This window comes from Homo sapiens, chromosome 10 (assembly GCF_000001405.40).
Source record: "Homo sapiens chromosome 10, GRCh38.p14 Primary Assembly".
Taxonomy (NCBI): domain Eukaryota; kingdom Metazoa; phylum Chordata; class Mammalia; order Primates; family Hominidae; genus Homo; species Homo sapiens.
The window spans coordinates 100,222,742-100,240,019 of record NC_000010.11 but is presented as its reverse complement, the minus strand read 5'-3'; the positions used below and the strand labels follow the sequence as shown (position 1 = coordinate 100,240,019).

General features: G+C 42.9%; 2 protein-coding genes, 1 long non-coding RNA gene and 1 other non-coding gene across 25 annotated transcripts in view, besides 3 other annotated features; 3 read left to right on the top strand and 1 right to left on the bottom strand.

Annotated features, from left to right (window-relative positions):
* The window catches only part of CWF19L1 (CWF19 like cell cycle control factor 1), a 35,341-nt gene extending 27,619 nt beyond the window's left edge, over nt 1-7,722 (top strand). For 4 of the 5 annotated variants that reach the window (NM_001303406.2, NM_001303407.2, NM_018294.6 and 1 more), the window contains 4 exons: nt 1,789-1,998; nt 3,051-3,170; nt 4,256-4,353; nt 6,649-7,722. In NM_001303406.2, coding sequence (NP_001290335.1) covers nt 1,789-1,998; nt 3,051-3,170; nt 4,256-4,353; nt 6,649-6,793 — 573 coding nt within the window. In that variant the 3' untranslated portion in view covers nt 6,794-7,722. The remainder of the gene's footprint in view (nt 1-1,788; nt 1,999-3,050; nt 3,171-4,255; nt 4,354-6,648) is intronic. The other variant, NM_001303404.2, reaches the window with a different exon arrangement.
* SNORA12 (small nucleolar RNA, H/ACA box 12) lies at nt 2,718-2,864 on the top strand. Its single transcript, NR_002954.1, has one exon. It is a non-coding gene; the product is annotated as a small nucleolar RNA, H/ACA box 12 (small nucleolar RNA).
* Nucleotides 4,943-10,360, bottom strand: CHUK-DT (CHUK divergent transcript). Of its 2 annotated transcripts, NR_186418.1 has the most exons (5): nt 10,296-10,360; nt 8,894-9,005; nt 8,360-8,774; nt 6,577-6,789; nt 4,943-6,067 (listed from the first exon to the last, which is right to left on the bottom strand). It is a non-coding gene; the product is annotated as a CHUK divergent transcript (long non-coding RNA). The 2 variants fall into 2 exon arrangements; NR_186419.1 differs by lacking the exon at nt 8,360-8,774.
* Nucleotides 9,115-9,377: a silencer, noted in NCBI's record as "fragment chr10:101990400-101990662 (GRCh37/hg19 assembly coordinates)". NCBI's record gives its function as "represses an EF-1alpha promoter that drives an FKBP-Casp9 reporter gene in an ReSE screen in HepG2 liver carcinoma cells {active_cell/tissue: HepG2}" and the evidence as "EXISTENCE:reporter gene assay evidence [ECO:0000049][PMID:32094911]".
* Nucleotides 10,287-10,336: an enhancer, noted in NCBI's record as "active region_3884". NCBI's record gives its function as "activates an Ori minimal core promoter by ATAC-STARR-seq in GM12878 lymphoblastoid cells {active_cell/tissue: GM12878}" and the evidence as "EXISTENCE:reporter gene assay evidence [ECO:0000049][PMID:35858748]".
* Nucleotides 10,424-17,278, top strand: part of CHUK (component of inhibitor of nuclear factor kappa B kinase complex) — a 43,278-nt gene continuing 36,423 nt past the window's right edge. For 16 of the 17 annotated variants that reach the window (NR_199797.1, NR_199800.1, NR_199799.1 and 13 more), the window contains exons 1-3: nt 10,424-10,592; nt 14,003-14,097; nt 17,040-17,154. Coding sequence is in view for 8 of the 17 variants with exons in the window: in XM_047424542.1 (XP_047280498.1) it covers nt 10,488-10,592; nt 14,003-14,097; nt 17,040-17,154 (315 nt within the window). In the remaining 9 variants the exon portion in view is untranslated. The remainder of the gene's footprint in view (nt 10,593-14,002; nt 14,098-17,039; nt 17,155-17,278) is intronic. The other variant, NM_001441065.1, reaches the window with a different exon arrangement.
* Nucleotides 10,447-10,686: a silencer, noted in NCBI's record as "silent region_2704". NCBI's record gives its function as "represses an Ori minimal core promoter by ATAC-STARR-seq in GM12878 lymphoblastoid cells {active_cell/tissue: GM12878}" and the evidence as "EXISTENCE:reporter gene assay evidence [ECO:0000049][PMID:35858748]".

Below are 17,278 nucleotides of genomic sequence, written 5' to 3'. Positions count from 1 at the left end.
ACCTAAAGAATGCACATCATAATAGAGAAGCTGATGTTTATGGCAGTGACCTTCTGACAAAAATAGCTAGACGACTCAGGCTTCTAGAGTAACCTTTTAAACAAATACAATATAAAGTGGTTATTATACAAATAAAAAAAAGTTTTTAGTGCCTGTGAGGTTTTCATCAACTTTAGTCATCTGGAAAATTAACTTTGTCAATATGCTCAGTCCTCTCTGCCAAACAAATCAAGGACAATCATGCTTTAGTATCTTTCCAATACATATCCTGTCATTCTGTTGGACTTTCTTATTATAGATGAGAAGTGATTCCTTCCTTCAGCCTTAACTTTGAGCCCACCACACTAAGAGCATAGTTGGAATAATTTTTTATTTTTTTTCCTGAGACAGTCTTGTTCTGTCGCCCAGGCTGGAGTGCAGTGGCACGATCTCGGCTCACTGTAACCTCCGCCTTCCAGGTTCAAGCAATTCACCTGCTTCAGTCTCCCAAGTAGCTGGGATTATAGGCACGTGCCACCATGCCCAGCTAATTTTTGTATTTTTAGTAGAGACGGGGTTTCACCTTGTTGGCCAGGCTGGTCTTGAACTCCTGACCTCGCGATCCATTTGCCTTGGCCTCCCAAAGTGCTGGGATTACAGTCATGAGCCAACGCACCCGGTCTGGATAATTGTTTTCTAACGTATCTATATTTGCCTGTACTGGTACTCATTGGGCCCTTCTGTGCTCACTCATGGCATCTTCCCATCAGAGAATATCTGAGTGGTAGACCATTCTTGCATGTTTTGGTTTTTACAGAAATATTTTTAGTTGCCATTAAAGGCTGACATCCATTGTTGGAAATCATTCTTTTCTGCCTCTTTGGATGCATCTGAGTTTGAGGTTTTACTTTCCTTCTACCCCATTAGGTTGTATGTTTGCTTTTGTTTTGTAGAATTTAGTCAGCAGCTTAAGGCTTAGGAACATTAGATGCTAATCATGCCATCTTAGCTTTTTTTGTGAGCCCAAGGAGTATATTCGGGGGTGGGGGTGGGAATGAAAGTTACTGGGGAGGCAGAAAGGGGTCATTTTTTTTTTTTTTTTTTTTTTGGAGACGGAGTCTCGCTCTGTCACCCAGGCTGGAGTGTAGTGGCGCGATCTCGGCTCACTGCAACCTCTGCCTCCCGGGTTCAAGCAATTCTCCTGTCTCAGCCTCCCGAGTAGCTGGGACTACAGGCACATGCCATCACAGGCCTGGCTAATTTTTGTATTTTTAGTAGAAATGAGGTTTCACCATATTGGTCAGCCTAGTCTGGAACTTCTGACCTCAGGCGGTCCACCTGCCTCGGCCTCTCAAAGTTTTGGGATTACAAGCGTGAGCCACTATCCCAGCCGAAAGTGGTCATTTTGAAATCAGAAGTTGTATCTTTTTGTGGTTGAGGGTGATAAAAACTGAAAAACTGTTTTCAAGTTTGGAGCATGGGAGGGAAAACCCAGCGATTTGTTCTGGTCTCCCTCAGCTCAGTGTGTTTGAAGCCAAAAGCCTGCTTGTGTGCCTCTCCCAATTCATTTGCTCCTAGTTCATTTGCTACTTGCATAGAAATTTTCATGCCGAATCTCACTCTTCAGCGGATACCTGAGAACATTGTTGCTACAATCTCTAAAATCAGATTTTTTCAAGAAAGAATTTTTATTAATAACCTCAAGTACTTTTCGCCTACACCCTCAGGCTCACTTTTTGTATAGGTTTTTCTCCCTGGAGAATCCTACATGCTGTATTGATGTCTCAATTCTGTGTGCTGCTTCTTCAGTGCTACCTTGCCCTGGCCAAAGGAGGCTTATCTGATGACCATGTCCTCATCCTGCCTATTGGACACTACCAGTCAGTGGTGGAGCTTTCAGCAGAGGTGGTAGAAGAGGTGGAGAAGTATAAGGCCACTCTGAGACGGTTCTTTAAGAGTCGAGGGAAATGGTGTGTTGTATTTGAGAGAAATTATAAGAGCCATCACCTCCAGCTACAGGTAGGTGGTCTGTTCATAGAAACTTGGAAGGGCGCTATGGGGACTTTGATATTGGTAAATAAGTATTTAAATAGGCTGGGCGAGGTGGCTCACGCCTGTAATCCTAGCACTTTGGGAGGCCGAAGCGGTTGGATTGCCTGAGCTCAGGAGTTCAAGACCAGCCTGGGCAACACGGTGAAACCCTGTCTCTACTAAAAGTACAAAAAAATTAGCTGGGCGTGGTGGTGCATGCCTGTAATCCCAGCTACTCGGGAGGCTGAGACAGGAGAATAGCTTGAACCTGGGAGGCAGAGGTTGCAGTGAGCCGAGATTGTGCCACTGCACTCCAGCCTGGGCAACAGAGCGAGACTCCATCTTTAAAAAAAAAATTATATAAAGTTTAGCTTTAATATGTAAAATATTTAATATTTTTATATTAATATTTAAATAACATTCATTTAAAAAGTTTTTAAAGAGTATCTGGTGGTAACCCCAGAGACTTCACAGGGAAGTGTGTGGTCAGTACATGTAAACAGCATAGATAGTAAGTTCCTTGTTTAGAAAAGGAATGGGTAGTTGAGGAAGTTCCAAGGAAGATGTGGGGCTTGCTGGATAAGAATTTGGAAGAAAGTGAGTATTTTGTGTGGAGGCCCAGCATGAGGGAAAGCTTAGTGGTAGGAAATAGTCTCAAAGCCTGCATGGGGCTAGCAGCTCAGAAAATCAGATTGTAAATCATTTGTAGTTGTGGTGGTTTTCTTTTTGGCACATTTGTTAAGTTTTCAAATGGGCCTAACTCTGCCACATATATAATATCGGAGATGGCAAAGGCTTGTGACGGAGATATCTCTCTTAAGCCTTTCCTGCATCAGAGAATGGCTCCCACATGTGTCAGGCTATCTCATAAGTTTAAGTCCTTACAGACAGGCTGACACAGGCTTGTCTGGCCTGAGGATATTCTGTGCTGAGGGGTGTTTCTCCACCCCTGTGATGGATTTGCTACTTCTCAGAGACTGTGCAGGCACAACTTCTCTGGGACCTGCACAAGGAATTTCTCCTGTCTCCCCAACCCCCAGGTCATTCCTGTCCCAATCAGCTGCTCTACTACTGATGACATTAAAGATGCCTTCATTACCCAGGCACAGGAGCAGCAGATAGAGCTGTTGGAAATCCCAGAGCACTCTGACATCAAGCAGGTGAAACAGGGGATGGTGATATTCAGGGAAGAGTAAATATCTGTTTTTTTTGTTGTTGTTTGTTGTTTGTTTGTTTGTTTGAGACAGAGTCTTGCTCTGTTGCCTAGGTTGGAGTGCAGTGGCATGATCTTGGCTCACTGCAACCTCCGCCTTCCGGGTTCAAGTGATTCTCCTGCCTCAGCCTCCCCAGTAGCTGGGACTACAGGCATGCGCCACCATACCTGGCTACTTTTTGTATTTTTAGTCGAGACGGGGTTTCACCATATTGGCCAGGCTGGTCTCGAACTCCTGACCTTGTGATCTGCCTGCCTTGGCCTCCCGAAGGTATTACAGGCATGAGCCACCCACGCCTGGCAAGATCTGGTTTTTGACATGTTGAGCCTAAGGTTTTTGACATGTTGAGCTATCAAGGCATTCCAAAAATGTTATTAAATAGGCAATGGGTTGGGCATGGTAGCTCACACCTGTAATCCAACACTTTGGGAGGCTGAGGCGGGAGGAGCACTTGAAGCCAGGAGTTTGATACCAGCCTGGGCAACAAAGTGAGACACCTTGTCTCTACAAAAAATAAAAAAATAAGCTTGGCATGGTGGCATGTGCCTGTAGTCTTAGCTACTCAGGAGGCTGAGAGTCAGGAGGATCACTTAAGCCTAGGAGTTTGAGGATGCAGTGAGGTATGATTGCACCACTGTACTTCAGCCTGGGCAACATCGCAAGACCCTGTCTCTAAAAAAAAAAAAAAAAAAAAGAGGCAGTGGACAATTTGGAACTAGAGCACTGGGTATTGACTAGACTGGAGATGAACAGGGCATTACTCCAAAGTTTAGTGCTTTCCTGGGAAGAGCAAGAAATTAGAATTTCCTAAGGTAGGAACTTAGAAGGATAGACGCCACTGGGAGGATATTGTTAGTATCTTCCAGTTAGACTTTTTAAGCCCTAGTTCCACTAAGTGGCTTGGGATCTATAGCAACATACATATCTTTTTTTCTTGTGCATTTAGACTGAATTATTTGCCTAGAGATGAACTCAGATTATAGATTTTTAAAGCATTATTGGACATCCTCATACAACTCTGTTTACTTTAGATTGCACAGCCAGGAGCAGCATATTTTTATGTTGAACTTGACACAGGAGAAAAGCTTTTCCACAGAATTAAAAAGAATTTTCCTTTGCAGTTTGGAAGGTATGTTTTTCTTCTTTTCAATGTATTTTCACTAGACCTGCTATGAACAGAGTGGTGGGCTACATGGGACAATTGATAAAAAGCTAAATTGTAAACAGTCCTTGCCCCAGAGGACCCATGGTCTTAGGGCAGATGTTTACATATATGACAGTAATGTAATGTAGAATGTGAAGAGTACCATGACAGAGTTTTGGAGAACAATGTGCTGTAGAAATTCAGAAAAGGGACAGCTCATTTCTAGTTGGTGAAAGCCTTCATGAAAGTGGCAAAGTTGAACCTGAGAGGCATATTTAGAGGGCAAAGATTGAGGTGAGGGCATTCTAGCCAGAAGTGCTAGGGAACTTTAATTGAGCACATACTCTGTGCCAAGAACTGTACCAAGAACTTTACACATACATGACTCATTTAATCTTCATAACTCTGTAAGGTAGGTACTGTCATCCCGATTTACCAGTGTGGAAAATGAGGCTCTAGAGCAGTGCCCGGTAGACTTTTCACAACGATGGAAATGCTCAAATATCTGCACTGTCCAATACAGTTGTGACTAGCCACTTGTGGCCACTGAGTGCTGAAATGTGGCTAATGTGACTGAGGAACTAAATTTTTGATTTTATTTAATTAATTAGAATTTAAATTTAAATAGCCATACCTGGCTAATGGTTACCCCACTGGATAGCAGGCTGTAGAGAGCTTAGGTAGCTTGTCCTAGTCACACAGTGGTAGGTTCAAACCCAGGCCTGTTGGACCTCAAAACTTGAGGTCTTAACCTCAGTGTTCTACAGTATGGTAAAGGCCTAGAGGAGGCTTCAGTTCTGTTCCTCGTATCAGGCAAAACATGACTGCAAAACCATAGAGGGAGTAACATAACTTAAGCAAAGATTGAAGATGGGAAGTTGCTGGCAAGAAGATACAGTTTGAAGGGGAGTGGAAAATGTGTAGAACAGAGTATCTGATGCTGGTGTCTGTGATTTGCAGCTGTTTTTTCTCCCCTAGTTAAAAATGGGCTTTGAGTGAGCCTTGAACCTGTCTTGGACTAATTCAGAAAGCCTCCAAGAGATTGCCCCCTTAGATAAGTCCAGTAAATGTAGTTGTCTACATTTTTCAAAAAGATAAATGGGAACAAGTGTGCTACGAGATTCAGACATCTGACGTGATGTTTTCGTTGTTGCCTCAGCAACAGATGCGGTTATGAACATTGACAACATAAGCACACGATTGCAGATACACATAGGCGTATAAAGCACACAAAAAGAAGATTCTCTGAATGGTTTTGTGCTTATGATGTATTTTCAATATTGAGTAATTATCAAGATACTAATTTATAGTTATATAGCATTTTATAGTTAACAAAATATTTGAAATGGCATATTTTTTTCAGCTGTACAAGAAAGGTAGTTCTATTTTCCTTTTATATTTGAAATAGGCTCAAAGTTTGCCCAGGGAGCTTAGGTTCTTTGACTTATAGAGAATTCATGATTTGTTTCTAACTCTTCTATTTACTGTAACTTCAAAGTGGAAAATGAACCATATAAATGTGTAATAGAATTATTTCTAATATATCAAAATAAGTAAAAATAAAAATATAAAGCAATGGCGATTAGAAGGCAGCTTGTGTGTGAGTGTGTCTGTATGTAGTTATTCTTTAGTCCTAAGAGCCAAGATAGTTGTTTTGTTGACATTGGGCTTGTGCTGCTGTTACGTGGGCCTGAGTCCCCTAGAAGGAGAGGCAGAGGAATTTTAAATCAGAGTGGGTATGACTAGGCTCCTGACTCTGCAAACTCATGTCTAGTTGAGGTGACAAAACTACAGTTTAAGGCAGGTTGTAATCACAGCTAATATGGCACTTTGACTGTGTTATCTCTGTACCTCACAAAAACCCTGTATGGTGGGTGTTCTTATTTGCATTTCATAGGTGAGGAAATCAAGACTCAGAGATGAAATCATCTGTCTAGATCATAGATAGCAAGTGGCAAAGCTGGAAATGGGATCCAGTCTCTGATCTTTCTCACACCAGGGCCTGCCCTTTTTCTATGTGGTGTTGCTTCTCTAAGTACCAATAATATAGTTCCAAGTTTTTTAAGAGAGGGAGAAGCAAGTGGGGTTTGAAGGATCAGGAAATATATAGTACCTGAGCTGGTCATTTAAAACGGGTATGATTTTGATCAATAGTATGGCAGAGATGGCACTCAGGGCAGGAGAGCAAAGTCAGAGAAATTTGCATACCTCCTTTGGGTGATGTTGAGGAGAGCTCAGGCTGATAGTTTCCATTTTGACTTCTTTGTGCTATTTCTGCAGGGAGGTCCTGGCCAGTGAAGCCATCCTTAATGTTCCTGATAAGTCTGACTGGAGGCAGTGTCAGATCAGCAAGGAAGACGAGGAGACCCTGGCTCGCCGCTTCCGGAAAGACTTTGAGCCCTATGACTTTACTCTGGATGACTAAAACAAAGGGAAGAACTTTTTATGAACTCCACAGGAAGTAGTAAAGCTTTTTTTTTTTTTTAATTAAAAGAATTTTTTTTGAGACAAAGTCTCGCTCTGTCACCCAAGCAGGATTGCAGTGGCATAACTGTGGCTCACTGTAGCCTCAACCTCCTGGGCTCTAGAGTTCCTCCCACCTCAGCCTCATGAGTAGCTGGGACCACAGGCGCATGCTACCATGCCTGGCAAACTTTTTTGATTTTTTATAGAGACAGGAGGGTCTCCCTGTGTTGCCCAGGCTGGTCTGTAATGCCTAGGCTCAAGGGATCCTCTGCCTTGGCTTCTTAACCTGCTGGGATTACAAGCATGAGACACCATTCCTGGCCTAGAAGCCTATTTTTAAAGAAACTACAATCTCCCATGGGGACTGTTTCCCTGCCTCTTTTGTGCAGTCCCATGGAACTTGCCTACAGCAAGAGGCCTAAGATTGAATCTTTTTGGGGAAAAGTCATTCTAGGATGAAAATCCTATGTTAAGGCCGGGCGCAGTGGCTCACGCCTGTAATCCCAGTACTTTGGGAAGCCGAGGCAGGTGGATCACCTGAGGTGAGGAGTTTGAGACCAGCCTGGCCAACATGGTGAAACCCCGTCTTTACTAAAGCTACAAAAATTAGCTGGGCGTGGTGCCAGGCACTTGTAATCCCAGCTACTCAGGAGGCTGAGGCAGGAGAATTGCTTGAGCCTGGGAGGTGGAGGTTGCAGTGAGCCAAGATCGCTCCATTGCACTCCAGCCTGGGTGACAGTGAAACTCCATCTCAAAAATAAAAGAATAAAAGTATGTCTGTCATCCAGCTCCTATGTCTGTTATCCAGCTCCAAGTACAGCTTGTGTATATCAACATTTTCAAAAACCTTTAAACTACCAAATGAAATCCAGATGTTTTTCCATGGTTGAGAAGTGTCTTGTGTTCATGTTGCCTGTGACCGTTGAAATGAAGTAGTATGTGTAATAGCAGGGGCTAGAGCTTTAGGCCCAGCTGTTACTCCAAAATCACACAGGGCAGTTTCTCCCTGAACAACCCAAAGTGGAAAAGGGATCCAAGGCTTTTGCTATTTTTCTCTTAAGCATTCATCTTATTCATAGATAAGAGCCCATTTAGTCCTTCGGATATTTAACTCCTATGTGCCAGGCATTTTTCTAAGCTCCAGGACCATAGTCATGTCCCAATATGGTCCCTGTTGTCCCAGAGATTACAGTTTAATGGGGAATAGAAGGGACAGATTTAAGAAAAAAAAGATAATTCTCCTTTGGATATTGTTTTAGGTGCTTGATATATCTAATATGTGTCTGTTGTGCTGCTGGGCAGTTCTAAACTCATCAGTACCTGGGTTGGTTACAGGGCTTTGGGGATCATCAGGGTATAGGCCATAGGTGAAATTAAGATAGGGTAAATACAGTCCTGAGCTGAAGATGATTACCTGAGAAATATCAGTATTTAAGGAGTGCTTGAAAATAGTGATCTAACATTTACATAGAGAAGGAGCAAAGAGAATGCTACATATTAGGCGCAAAAAGAAAAATATTTTTACCTTTATATTGGGCACTTATGGTCCAGACACTGTTTCATTTAATCTTCACAAAATCTCTGTGAGGTAGGTATTACCTCTATTTTACTCATGAAAAAAAAACTGAGACTCGGAAAATTGAAGATTGTGGAGCCTGGGGTCAACAGGCTTAGGCTTTTTAAAAAACAGGCCAGGTGGCTCATGCCTGTGATTGCAGCACTTTGGGAGGCTGAGGCAGGCAGATGACCTGAGATCAGGAGTTTGAGACCAGCCTAGCCAACACGGTGAAACCCCGTCTCTACTAAAAATGCAAAAAATTAGCTGGGCGTGGTTGCATGCGCCTGTAATGCCAGCTACTCGGGAGGCTGAGGCAGTAGAATTGCTTGAACCCTGGAGGTGGAGGTTGCAGTGAGCTGAGATCACACCATTGCACTCCAGCCTGGGTGACAAGAGTGAAACTCCATCTCAAACAATAACAACAACAACAACAAAAAACAACTCAAATTACTCATGGCCCTGGGAATGGGGGCATTTAAAAAGTTAACCAAGGGAACCAACCTGGTTTCCACAAAGATGGCCACTTCTGGGTCAGCCCAATCATCAGTATCCCTGGGTCCTCAGCATCCCTTCCTACCTCTTTTGACTGGGAATTACGAGATTACAGCCCCACCTACGGAAATTGAGCACATTAGCACTGGCCATGCTGTACATACAGCAAATGAGAGGGCTTCATACTGTTACAACAATCTGTACCACAATTCTCTGTGCGGTCTGCCCAGCTCTAAATGACATGTCCTCAGAGGCATCATCATCTCCAAGTCCATGGAAACCATGCACTTACAGAAACCAGAACCTCCCATACCACATGTTACTAATGACCTACAACATCGACTTCGTCTGTATCATGCAGTGCTCAACATTCTGGTTGCAGCATCACATTTATCAATAATTTGATTCCATGCTGATTCCTTTACTTGGAGTATTGAGATCCCCCAGGTACAGTGAAGGTATGACCCTCTTAAATGGAAGACCAGGAGTTGTTTCCCCTATGCTATGGCAATCCGCCACCCGGAAGCACTTGCTGCACCAACAGCATTCCCAAAGCTTGCCTCTGCAGCCCTGTAGCACCCATTAGAAACACTTCTCACAATGAACTACTGTGCTGGCAAACCCATAACTGGACTGCCGGACAGCAAGCTCTGTGAGGCATCTAGGAAAAAAGCTCGCGAAATCCCGAGAAACACTCTTCACTCCGGAATAGCGTCACATTCTTGAGTCATTTGGGATGACAGGGGATATCCTGGAGCAGGTGTATTGGGAAGTCAGTGAACAAGAAGGCTAATTCATTAGTGGGCCTGCTAGCGTAGTATTTTAACGATTTCGCAGCCTTTAAATCATTGGTGGTCTTTAGCGTGCCGGATCAGCTGGTGGTGGAGTTGGAGGATAGATGGCAGGGATCTGAAGAAAGGTGAAGTGTAGATAGGAGTAGAGACAATATGAAGTTTAGAAAAGACTAATTGCTGGACGCGGTGGCTCATGTCTATAATCCCAGCACTCTGGGATGCCAAGGTGGGAGGACTACTTGAGACCAGGAGTTCGGGACCAGCCTGGGCAACGTAGCAAGACCATGTCTCTACAAAAAATAAAAAATTAGCCAAGCGAGGTGGTGCGCGCCTGCAATCCCAGCTACTCGGGAGGTGAGAAGATCGCTTAATTCCGGGAGGTCGAGGCTGCAGTGAGCCGTGATCGTGCCATTGCACTCCAGCCTGGGCAACGGAGCGAGACCCCATCTTAATTAAAAAGAAAAAAATACAGGAGAGACTGGGCTGCTTTGAAAAGTGGATTTGACGGGAATGTGGGGTTTGGAGAGATCTTATGTTTTCCAAGACTAGAAAAACATTGTGGTTCCGTTCAGCCCTCCCGGAAAATACGTAGGGGACTTAAAGAGCGGACCGAGTACCTGTTTGTTTCCCCATCCCTTAGCCGGCAGGGCTCTGGCAGCGCCCTGGGAGAACTTAGGGAAGGGCCTTCTCGCAGCGGTTACCGGAAGTGACGCATTCATTCTCGCGAGAACAAAGACGCGCGAGCATCGGCGGCCCGGAACCGGCCTTGGAACAACTGTGGAACCTGAGGCCGCTTGCCCTCCCGCCCCATGGAGCGGCCCCCGGGGCTGCGGCCGGGCGCGGGCGGGCCCTGGGAGATGCGGGAGCGGCTGGGCACCGGCGGCTTCGGGAACGTCTGTCTGTACCAGCATCGGGTGAGGCGGGGCGTGAGAGGGAGCGGCGGTGGGTTGGAGCGGCGGTGGGTTTGAGCGTCTGTGGAACACAGGGCTGACAGTGTGGGATAGATGGTTGGTGGGACCTTGGGCAGTATTTGGGGGCCAGTGGGCTTGTGTGTGTGTATTAGAGAGAAAGATACTATGCCTGTGTGTCCAAAGTTGTATTTGAGGTACTGGGCATAGATAGAGCTGTTGCGGGGAACTTGGGTATGACTGTCAGGCTGTGACCAGGTGTTTAGTGAGTGTGACAGTGCGTGTGTGTCTCTGTGAATGTGGAGTGTCAGGGTGTGTGAGGCAGATGCACGTCACAGTGTGTATGTAGGAGCACGAATGTGTGAGAAGAGGGCTGAAGGGGACTGCCTTTGGGAATGTGTGCGTCCGTGTGTGTGTGTGTGTGTGTGTGTGTGTGTGTGCGCGCGCGCGCGCGCGCTTGGAGGCCATATGATATCAGTGGGGACTGGAGTAGACAAGGAAGGCTTCATGATGGGTCCAGAGTTAAGCCTTTGGAAGCATGGATGGGCTTTGGAATTGGGGATGTATTCCAGGTCGGGACAGTATGAGGGTGAGTTGGTGCAGAGCATGGCTTCAAACGAAAGGCTATATTAGTAGATGGAGATGGGGGGCGCTCTAGTAGGTGGAGGACAGTTAACATCAGACTCAAGAATTTTACTTTGATTTAATAGAGAATGTTTAACCATTGTAGTAGCAGTTAAAAAATCATATTTGGGTCTTGTTTGTTTGTTTTTGTTTTTGAGACGGAGTCTCACTCTGTCGCCCAGGCTGGAATGCAGGGCGCGATCTCGGCTCACTGCAGCCTCCTCCTCCCGAGTTCAAGCGATTCTCCTGCCACAGCCTCCTGAGTAGCTGGGATTACAGGCGCCCGCCACCGTGCCTGGCTAATTTTTTTGTATTTTTAGTAGAGACGGGGTTTCACCATGTTGGCCAGGCTGGTCTCGAACTCCTGACCTCAGGCGATCCACCTGTCTCAGGCTCCCAAAGTGCAGAGATTATAGGCGTGAGCCACGGCACCAGGCCTGGGACATGTATTTTTTGATATACCGATAAAAGCTGTGAACCCTTTCCCCAGAAAAATGCACAGATGCACATTCACACAACCATGCATTGCCATTTGAGAGGTTCGTGCCTTCCTAAAGGACATTTTAGGTAAATAGACCCTGGACTAATAATTCCTGTAATATAGGCTTTGTTTTGTTGCCTGTAAAGTAAGTATAGTATAATAATTACATGCATCATGGATTTGAGAGTTAAATAAAATAGTAATGTGTGTAAAGCTAAATACGGTACCTGACCCATGAAAGCCCTCAACTGTTAGCACCTGCTGCTACTTTGTTGTTGTTGCTGCTATGATCATAATGCTCCTCATTAATTGGCCTTAAGGAAATGTCAAGATAAAAAGTGTTGTTCTAGGAAAATGGTTTTGTAAAGGATAAATTTGAGTGGAACAACATATGGGACAAGATGAACAGGTAAGATCTTACTAAAATGCCTGGGCTTGGCTTGTGAATAGAGAAGTTAATTCAAGAGGAAAAGTAATAATTTGTTATCTAAAGGAACATGGGTGTAGTGAGAAAGCTCGTAATTTGGGGTGGGAGAAAGGGGAGATAGGAGTCTACCTTGGGAAAATAGGCATATTTAGGGTAATTAGAATGACAACTGAAACTGTTAGAACTGAGGAAGTTTTGTGAACCAGGTTTCTAGATAGGGCATAGGAGAAAATCTTGGAGAAAGAGAATGGAAGGTGAAGGACTAAGGCATTAAGTCCTGTGATAGCAGGATAAGTAGTAAATTTAATAATTCTCACCATCAGAGGGAACATAACACACTAAAAAAAAAAAAAAGTGGGAGCCAAGTGCTTCCAGTGGCATGTTGCCTGTGTTACCTAAGCCTGCCTATCCGCCTGGTCATAAGGAAAAAGGATGCATGCTGGCAGCTTTTGTGACTTCTTTTCTTGGTCCCTGGGTGGGGATGGATGAATTAATCACTTTTTGTTTTATTATGGTAAAGTATACATAACACAACATTTATCACTTTATTTTTAAGTGTACAGTTAGGTGGCATTAAGTACATTGACGTTGTTGTACAGCCATAACCCTATCTCCAGAATATTCCGACTTTTTTGTTGTTGTTGTACATCTATAAACTTCCCATAGAATATTCTTTGTGAAAAGGTAGAATTTCACAGAGTTGATGAAATATAAATTAAGGAGTTGAAGGATCTTACAAAGTGGGATTTTTGAAATAGATAACTTATTGCTCCATTAACATGAGCATTCAGGGCTCAGTGTTGTTCATGGTTGTGCCTGATTCTCATTTCCATGGTGGTAAAGGCCTGCATGGGACATAGATATAACTGGTCACCTGCTCATAACAAAAGGAAGATTGAAGGGAGTGAGAACTGTGGGTAGGCTAGCATGCAGTCTATCCTAGTTTCCTTCTTCTCTATGCACCAGGTATCATCTTATCTCTAGCTTCTTTTTTCCTCTCACCCTCCAATTCACACTACCCTATCCAAGCTATGTCTTGCTTCCCCACCTATAATATATTTTTTCTGTCCTGGCCCCTGGGCTCTTCTCTCTGTATTCATACACAGCCTTTATTACAACTCTGGTTTGTGTCAGAGATTACATATGTTGGAAATTCTTTTGAACTCTCCTTGTGATATCAGAAACATAGTGTAGCCTGTTTAGCCCTGACTGCTATTTCTGAGCTGCATTATTAATGTTGCCAGAATATGATGGGGTCTGGCTATTTCCTGTAATATGCATCAGAATGGGTTTAATTTCAGTCAGAATTGGCTAAATTACTAGTCACAGGCAAGAGATGTTAGGTTCATTATGTAGCTATGGAAGCAGAAGTACACTCATTGGTAGGATTTTTTTTCTTCATGTCATTTGAAATGCATACATTAGGATTGGAGTTTTTTGCTTTAGGCTTGGTTATATTAAAACTTTCTCTTGCTGTTTGGAGTCCAGGAAGCCCTGAATTACCTTCTTCATTTTAGTTATGCTAGAAGCTGGGGCACATATTAGTTGTCTTGATTAAGCTCTGAAAGGGGTTTGCTGAGGAGACAGGATCTTTTTTTTTCTAACATTATATATGAGAGAGAGTTCTGAAAAGACCTGTTATAAAATCAGTTTCAGGCACTTTTCCCTTGTATGCTGTTGTGTGTTTGAAGGTCAGTTTTAAAGCATTGGTGTAATAGTCTCATGGTTTATCTTTTTAAAAAGCATTGCCTCAAGAGAGCTGTGGATAAATATATTTAATTAGTAAAGCTAAAAAGTTTTGTTGTCTTAAGTTATTTCTTTGGTAGCAAATAAATCTTCACAAGAACCTAATTTTTTTTTTCTGTTGATTTTCTATTTTGGCAGGAACTTGATCTCAAAATAGCAATTAAGTCTTGTCGCCTAGAGCTAAGTACCAAAAACAGAGAACGATGGTGCCATGAAATCCAGATTATGAAGAAGTAAGTGTATTCCTTGACTTACATTTCCCTGGTTCTACAGCCCAACCAGATGTCATCATGGGGAAAGAGGCCAGGAATCCACTCTTCTCAGGATCTTTTTGGGAACATATATTTTTTTCTCTCATTAAATATATTCTATTTCAAATAATAATATCACATTAAGATTAAGAAGGTTTAGTTAAAATCAGCTAGGACACTTACACACTGTTGGTGGGAATGTAAAATTGTGCAACTGTTACGGAAAACAGTACGGTGATTCCTAAAAAATTAAAAATAGAATTACCATATGATCCAGCAATTCCATTTCTGGGTATATACAAAAATGAATTGAAAGCAGGGACTTAAAGAGTAATTTGTACACTCATATTCATAACATTATTATTCACAATAGCTGAAAGGTAAAAGCAACCCAGTATCTACCAGCAGAGACATGTATAAACAAAATGTGGTATATTCATGAAACGGAATATCATGCAGCCTTAAAAAGGAATGAAACTCTGACACATGCCACAGCATGGATGAATCTTGTGGACATTATGCTAAATGAAATAAGCCAGTCACAAAAAGACAAATACTGTGTCATTCCACTTATGTGTGGTACCTAGAGTAGTCAAACTCACAGTGAAAGAAAGTAGAATGGTGTTTGCCAGAGGGTGAAGGGACCAGCAAATAGAGAATAATTTTTAATAGGTGCGGAGTTTCAGCTTTGCAGAATTAAACAGTTTTGTGCAGTATAGTGATAGTAGCAAAACATTGTGAAAGTATTTGATGCCAGGCTGGGCATGTTGGCTCACACTGTAATTCCAACACTTTGAGAGGCTGAGGTGGGTGGATTGCTTGAGCTCAGGAGTTCGAGACCAGCCTGGGCAACATGGCAAAACCCCATCTCTACAAAAAATATAAAAACTAGCTATGTGTGGTGGTGCATGCCCGTAGTCCCAGTTACTTGGGAGGCTGAGGTGGGAAGATTGCTTGAGCCCAGGAGGTCAAGGCTACAGTGAGCTGAGATCATACCACTGTACTCCAGCCTGGGTGACAAGAGCAAGACCCTGTCTGAAAAAAAAGGAAAGCATCTTGATGCCACTAAACTGTACACTTAAAAATGGTTAAGGTGGTAAATTTTATGCTATGTGTGTTTTACCACAATCAAAAAACTATTTCATTTCAGTTAACAAAAGTCAGCTAGGGCCGGGCGTGGTGGCTCACACCTATAATCCCAGCACTTTGGGAGGCCAAGGCGGATGGATTACCTGAGGTCAGGAGTTTGAGACCAGCCCGGTCAACATGGCAAAACCCCATCTCTACTAAAAATACAAAAATTAGCCAGGTGTGGTGGCGGGTGCCTGTAATCCCAGCTACTTGGGAGGCCGAGGGAGGAGAATTGCTTGAACCCGGGAGGCGGAGGTTGCGGTAAGCTGAGATCATACCACTGCACTCCAGCCTGGGCGACTCCGTCTCTAAATAAATAAATAAATAATAAAAAATAAATTACCCCAACATTTAGTGGCTTAAAATAGCAAACATTTAGTATCTTATAGTTTCTGTGACTTAGGAATTTGGGAGTGGCTTAGCTGGGTGATTCTAGCTTAGAGTCTTTCCTGAGACATCTCAGGATATTGGTCGGAGCTGCAGTAATCCAAAGGCTTGACTGGGGCTGGAGTATCTGCTTCCATGCTCACTTATATGAATGTTGGCCAAAAGCATCAGTTCTTCGCCATGTGGGCCTCTTCATGGGGAAGCTTGAATGTTTTCATGACATGGAAGCTAGCTTTCCCCAGAAAGATCTTTTCCTCAGAAAGAGTGAGTGATCTGAGAGAGAGAGAGAGAGAGAGAGAGTGAACGAGCGAGCAAGATGAAAACCGACGTATCTTTTATGATCTTTACTTGGAAGTGAGACTCCATCCTTTTCCACCACATTCTGTTTGTTACAGTGAGTCACTAAGTACAGCCTACATTCAAGGGGAGGAGAGTTAAGCTCTTAAAAAGAGAAGTAGACATATTTTAAAACTTCCACAGGTAGTGTGCTAAGTACTTTACAGATCATTCTTCCAGTTATCACAGCAATCTTATATTTAGGTATTATTTTGCAAATGAGGAAGTTGAAGCTTATAGAATCACATAGCTGGTGGTTGGTAAAGTGTGGATTTGAAATAAATACTTTCTGACTCTAATATCTGTGCTTAATTCCATTTTGATTCTCAAACTTGGTTATGTGGCAGAATCACCAGGAAAGCTTAATAGTATAAATTATCAGGTCCTACATGTACATGGAAATTCTGTTTGCTTCTTTTTCTTTTTTTCTTTTTTTTTTTAAAAGAGATGTGGTCTTGCTATGTTACCCAGGCTTGACTTGAACTCCTGGGCTCAAGCAGTCCTCCCACCTCAGCCTCTGGAGTAGCTGGGACTATAGGCATGCGCCACCACACCCGGCTAATTTTTAATTTTTTGTAGAGATGAGGTCTCACTGTGTTACCCATGCTGATCTCGAACTCCTGGCCTCAAGCAATCCTCCCACCTCAGCCTCCCAAATTGTTGGGATTACAGTTACAACTACACCCAGCCTAGAACGCCAGATTTGACTTACTCACTGTGTGATCTTGTTACTTAGCCAATTTGTGCTTCAATTTTCTCCTGTGTGGTGAAAGTATTAATAAATCTACCTATAATAGGATTATTGTGACAAGTAACTGAGTTAATATATTTAAAATGTTTACTGCTTGGCACTTAGAAATGTAATAGTAGTAATAGTGATGGTATTTTTATGTGTGTTTTCTTTTAAAAAATTACTAATTTTTAATTATACAAATCAGAAATTAGAATATTATAAATAATACTGATCTTTCCCCCTCTGTTCATCCACCCACAATTAAGTAGCATTTCAAATCCAGTCCCTTTTTATTGGAAATAATTTTTTTTATTGTAATGTTTTTCTTTCTTATTAGGTTGAACCATGCCAATGTTGTAAAGGCCTGTGATGTTCCTGAAGAATTGAATATTTTGATTCATGATGTGCCTCTTCTAGCAATGGAATACTGTTCTGGAGGAGATCTCCGAAAGGTAGTGTGGATGTTTTGAGATGAGAGAGAGTAAATCACAAACTTTAGCAATGTTTGAATCATGTTAAATATAATAAACTAGAATAAGAATCGGAAAAACTATGGTCTGCTTCCTGTTTTGTAAA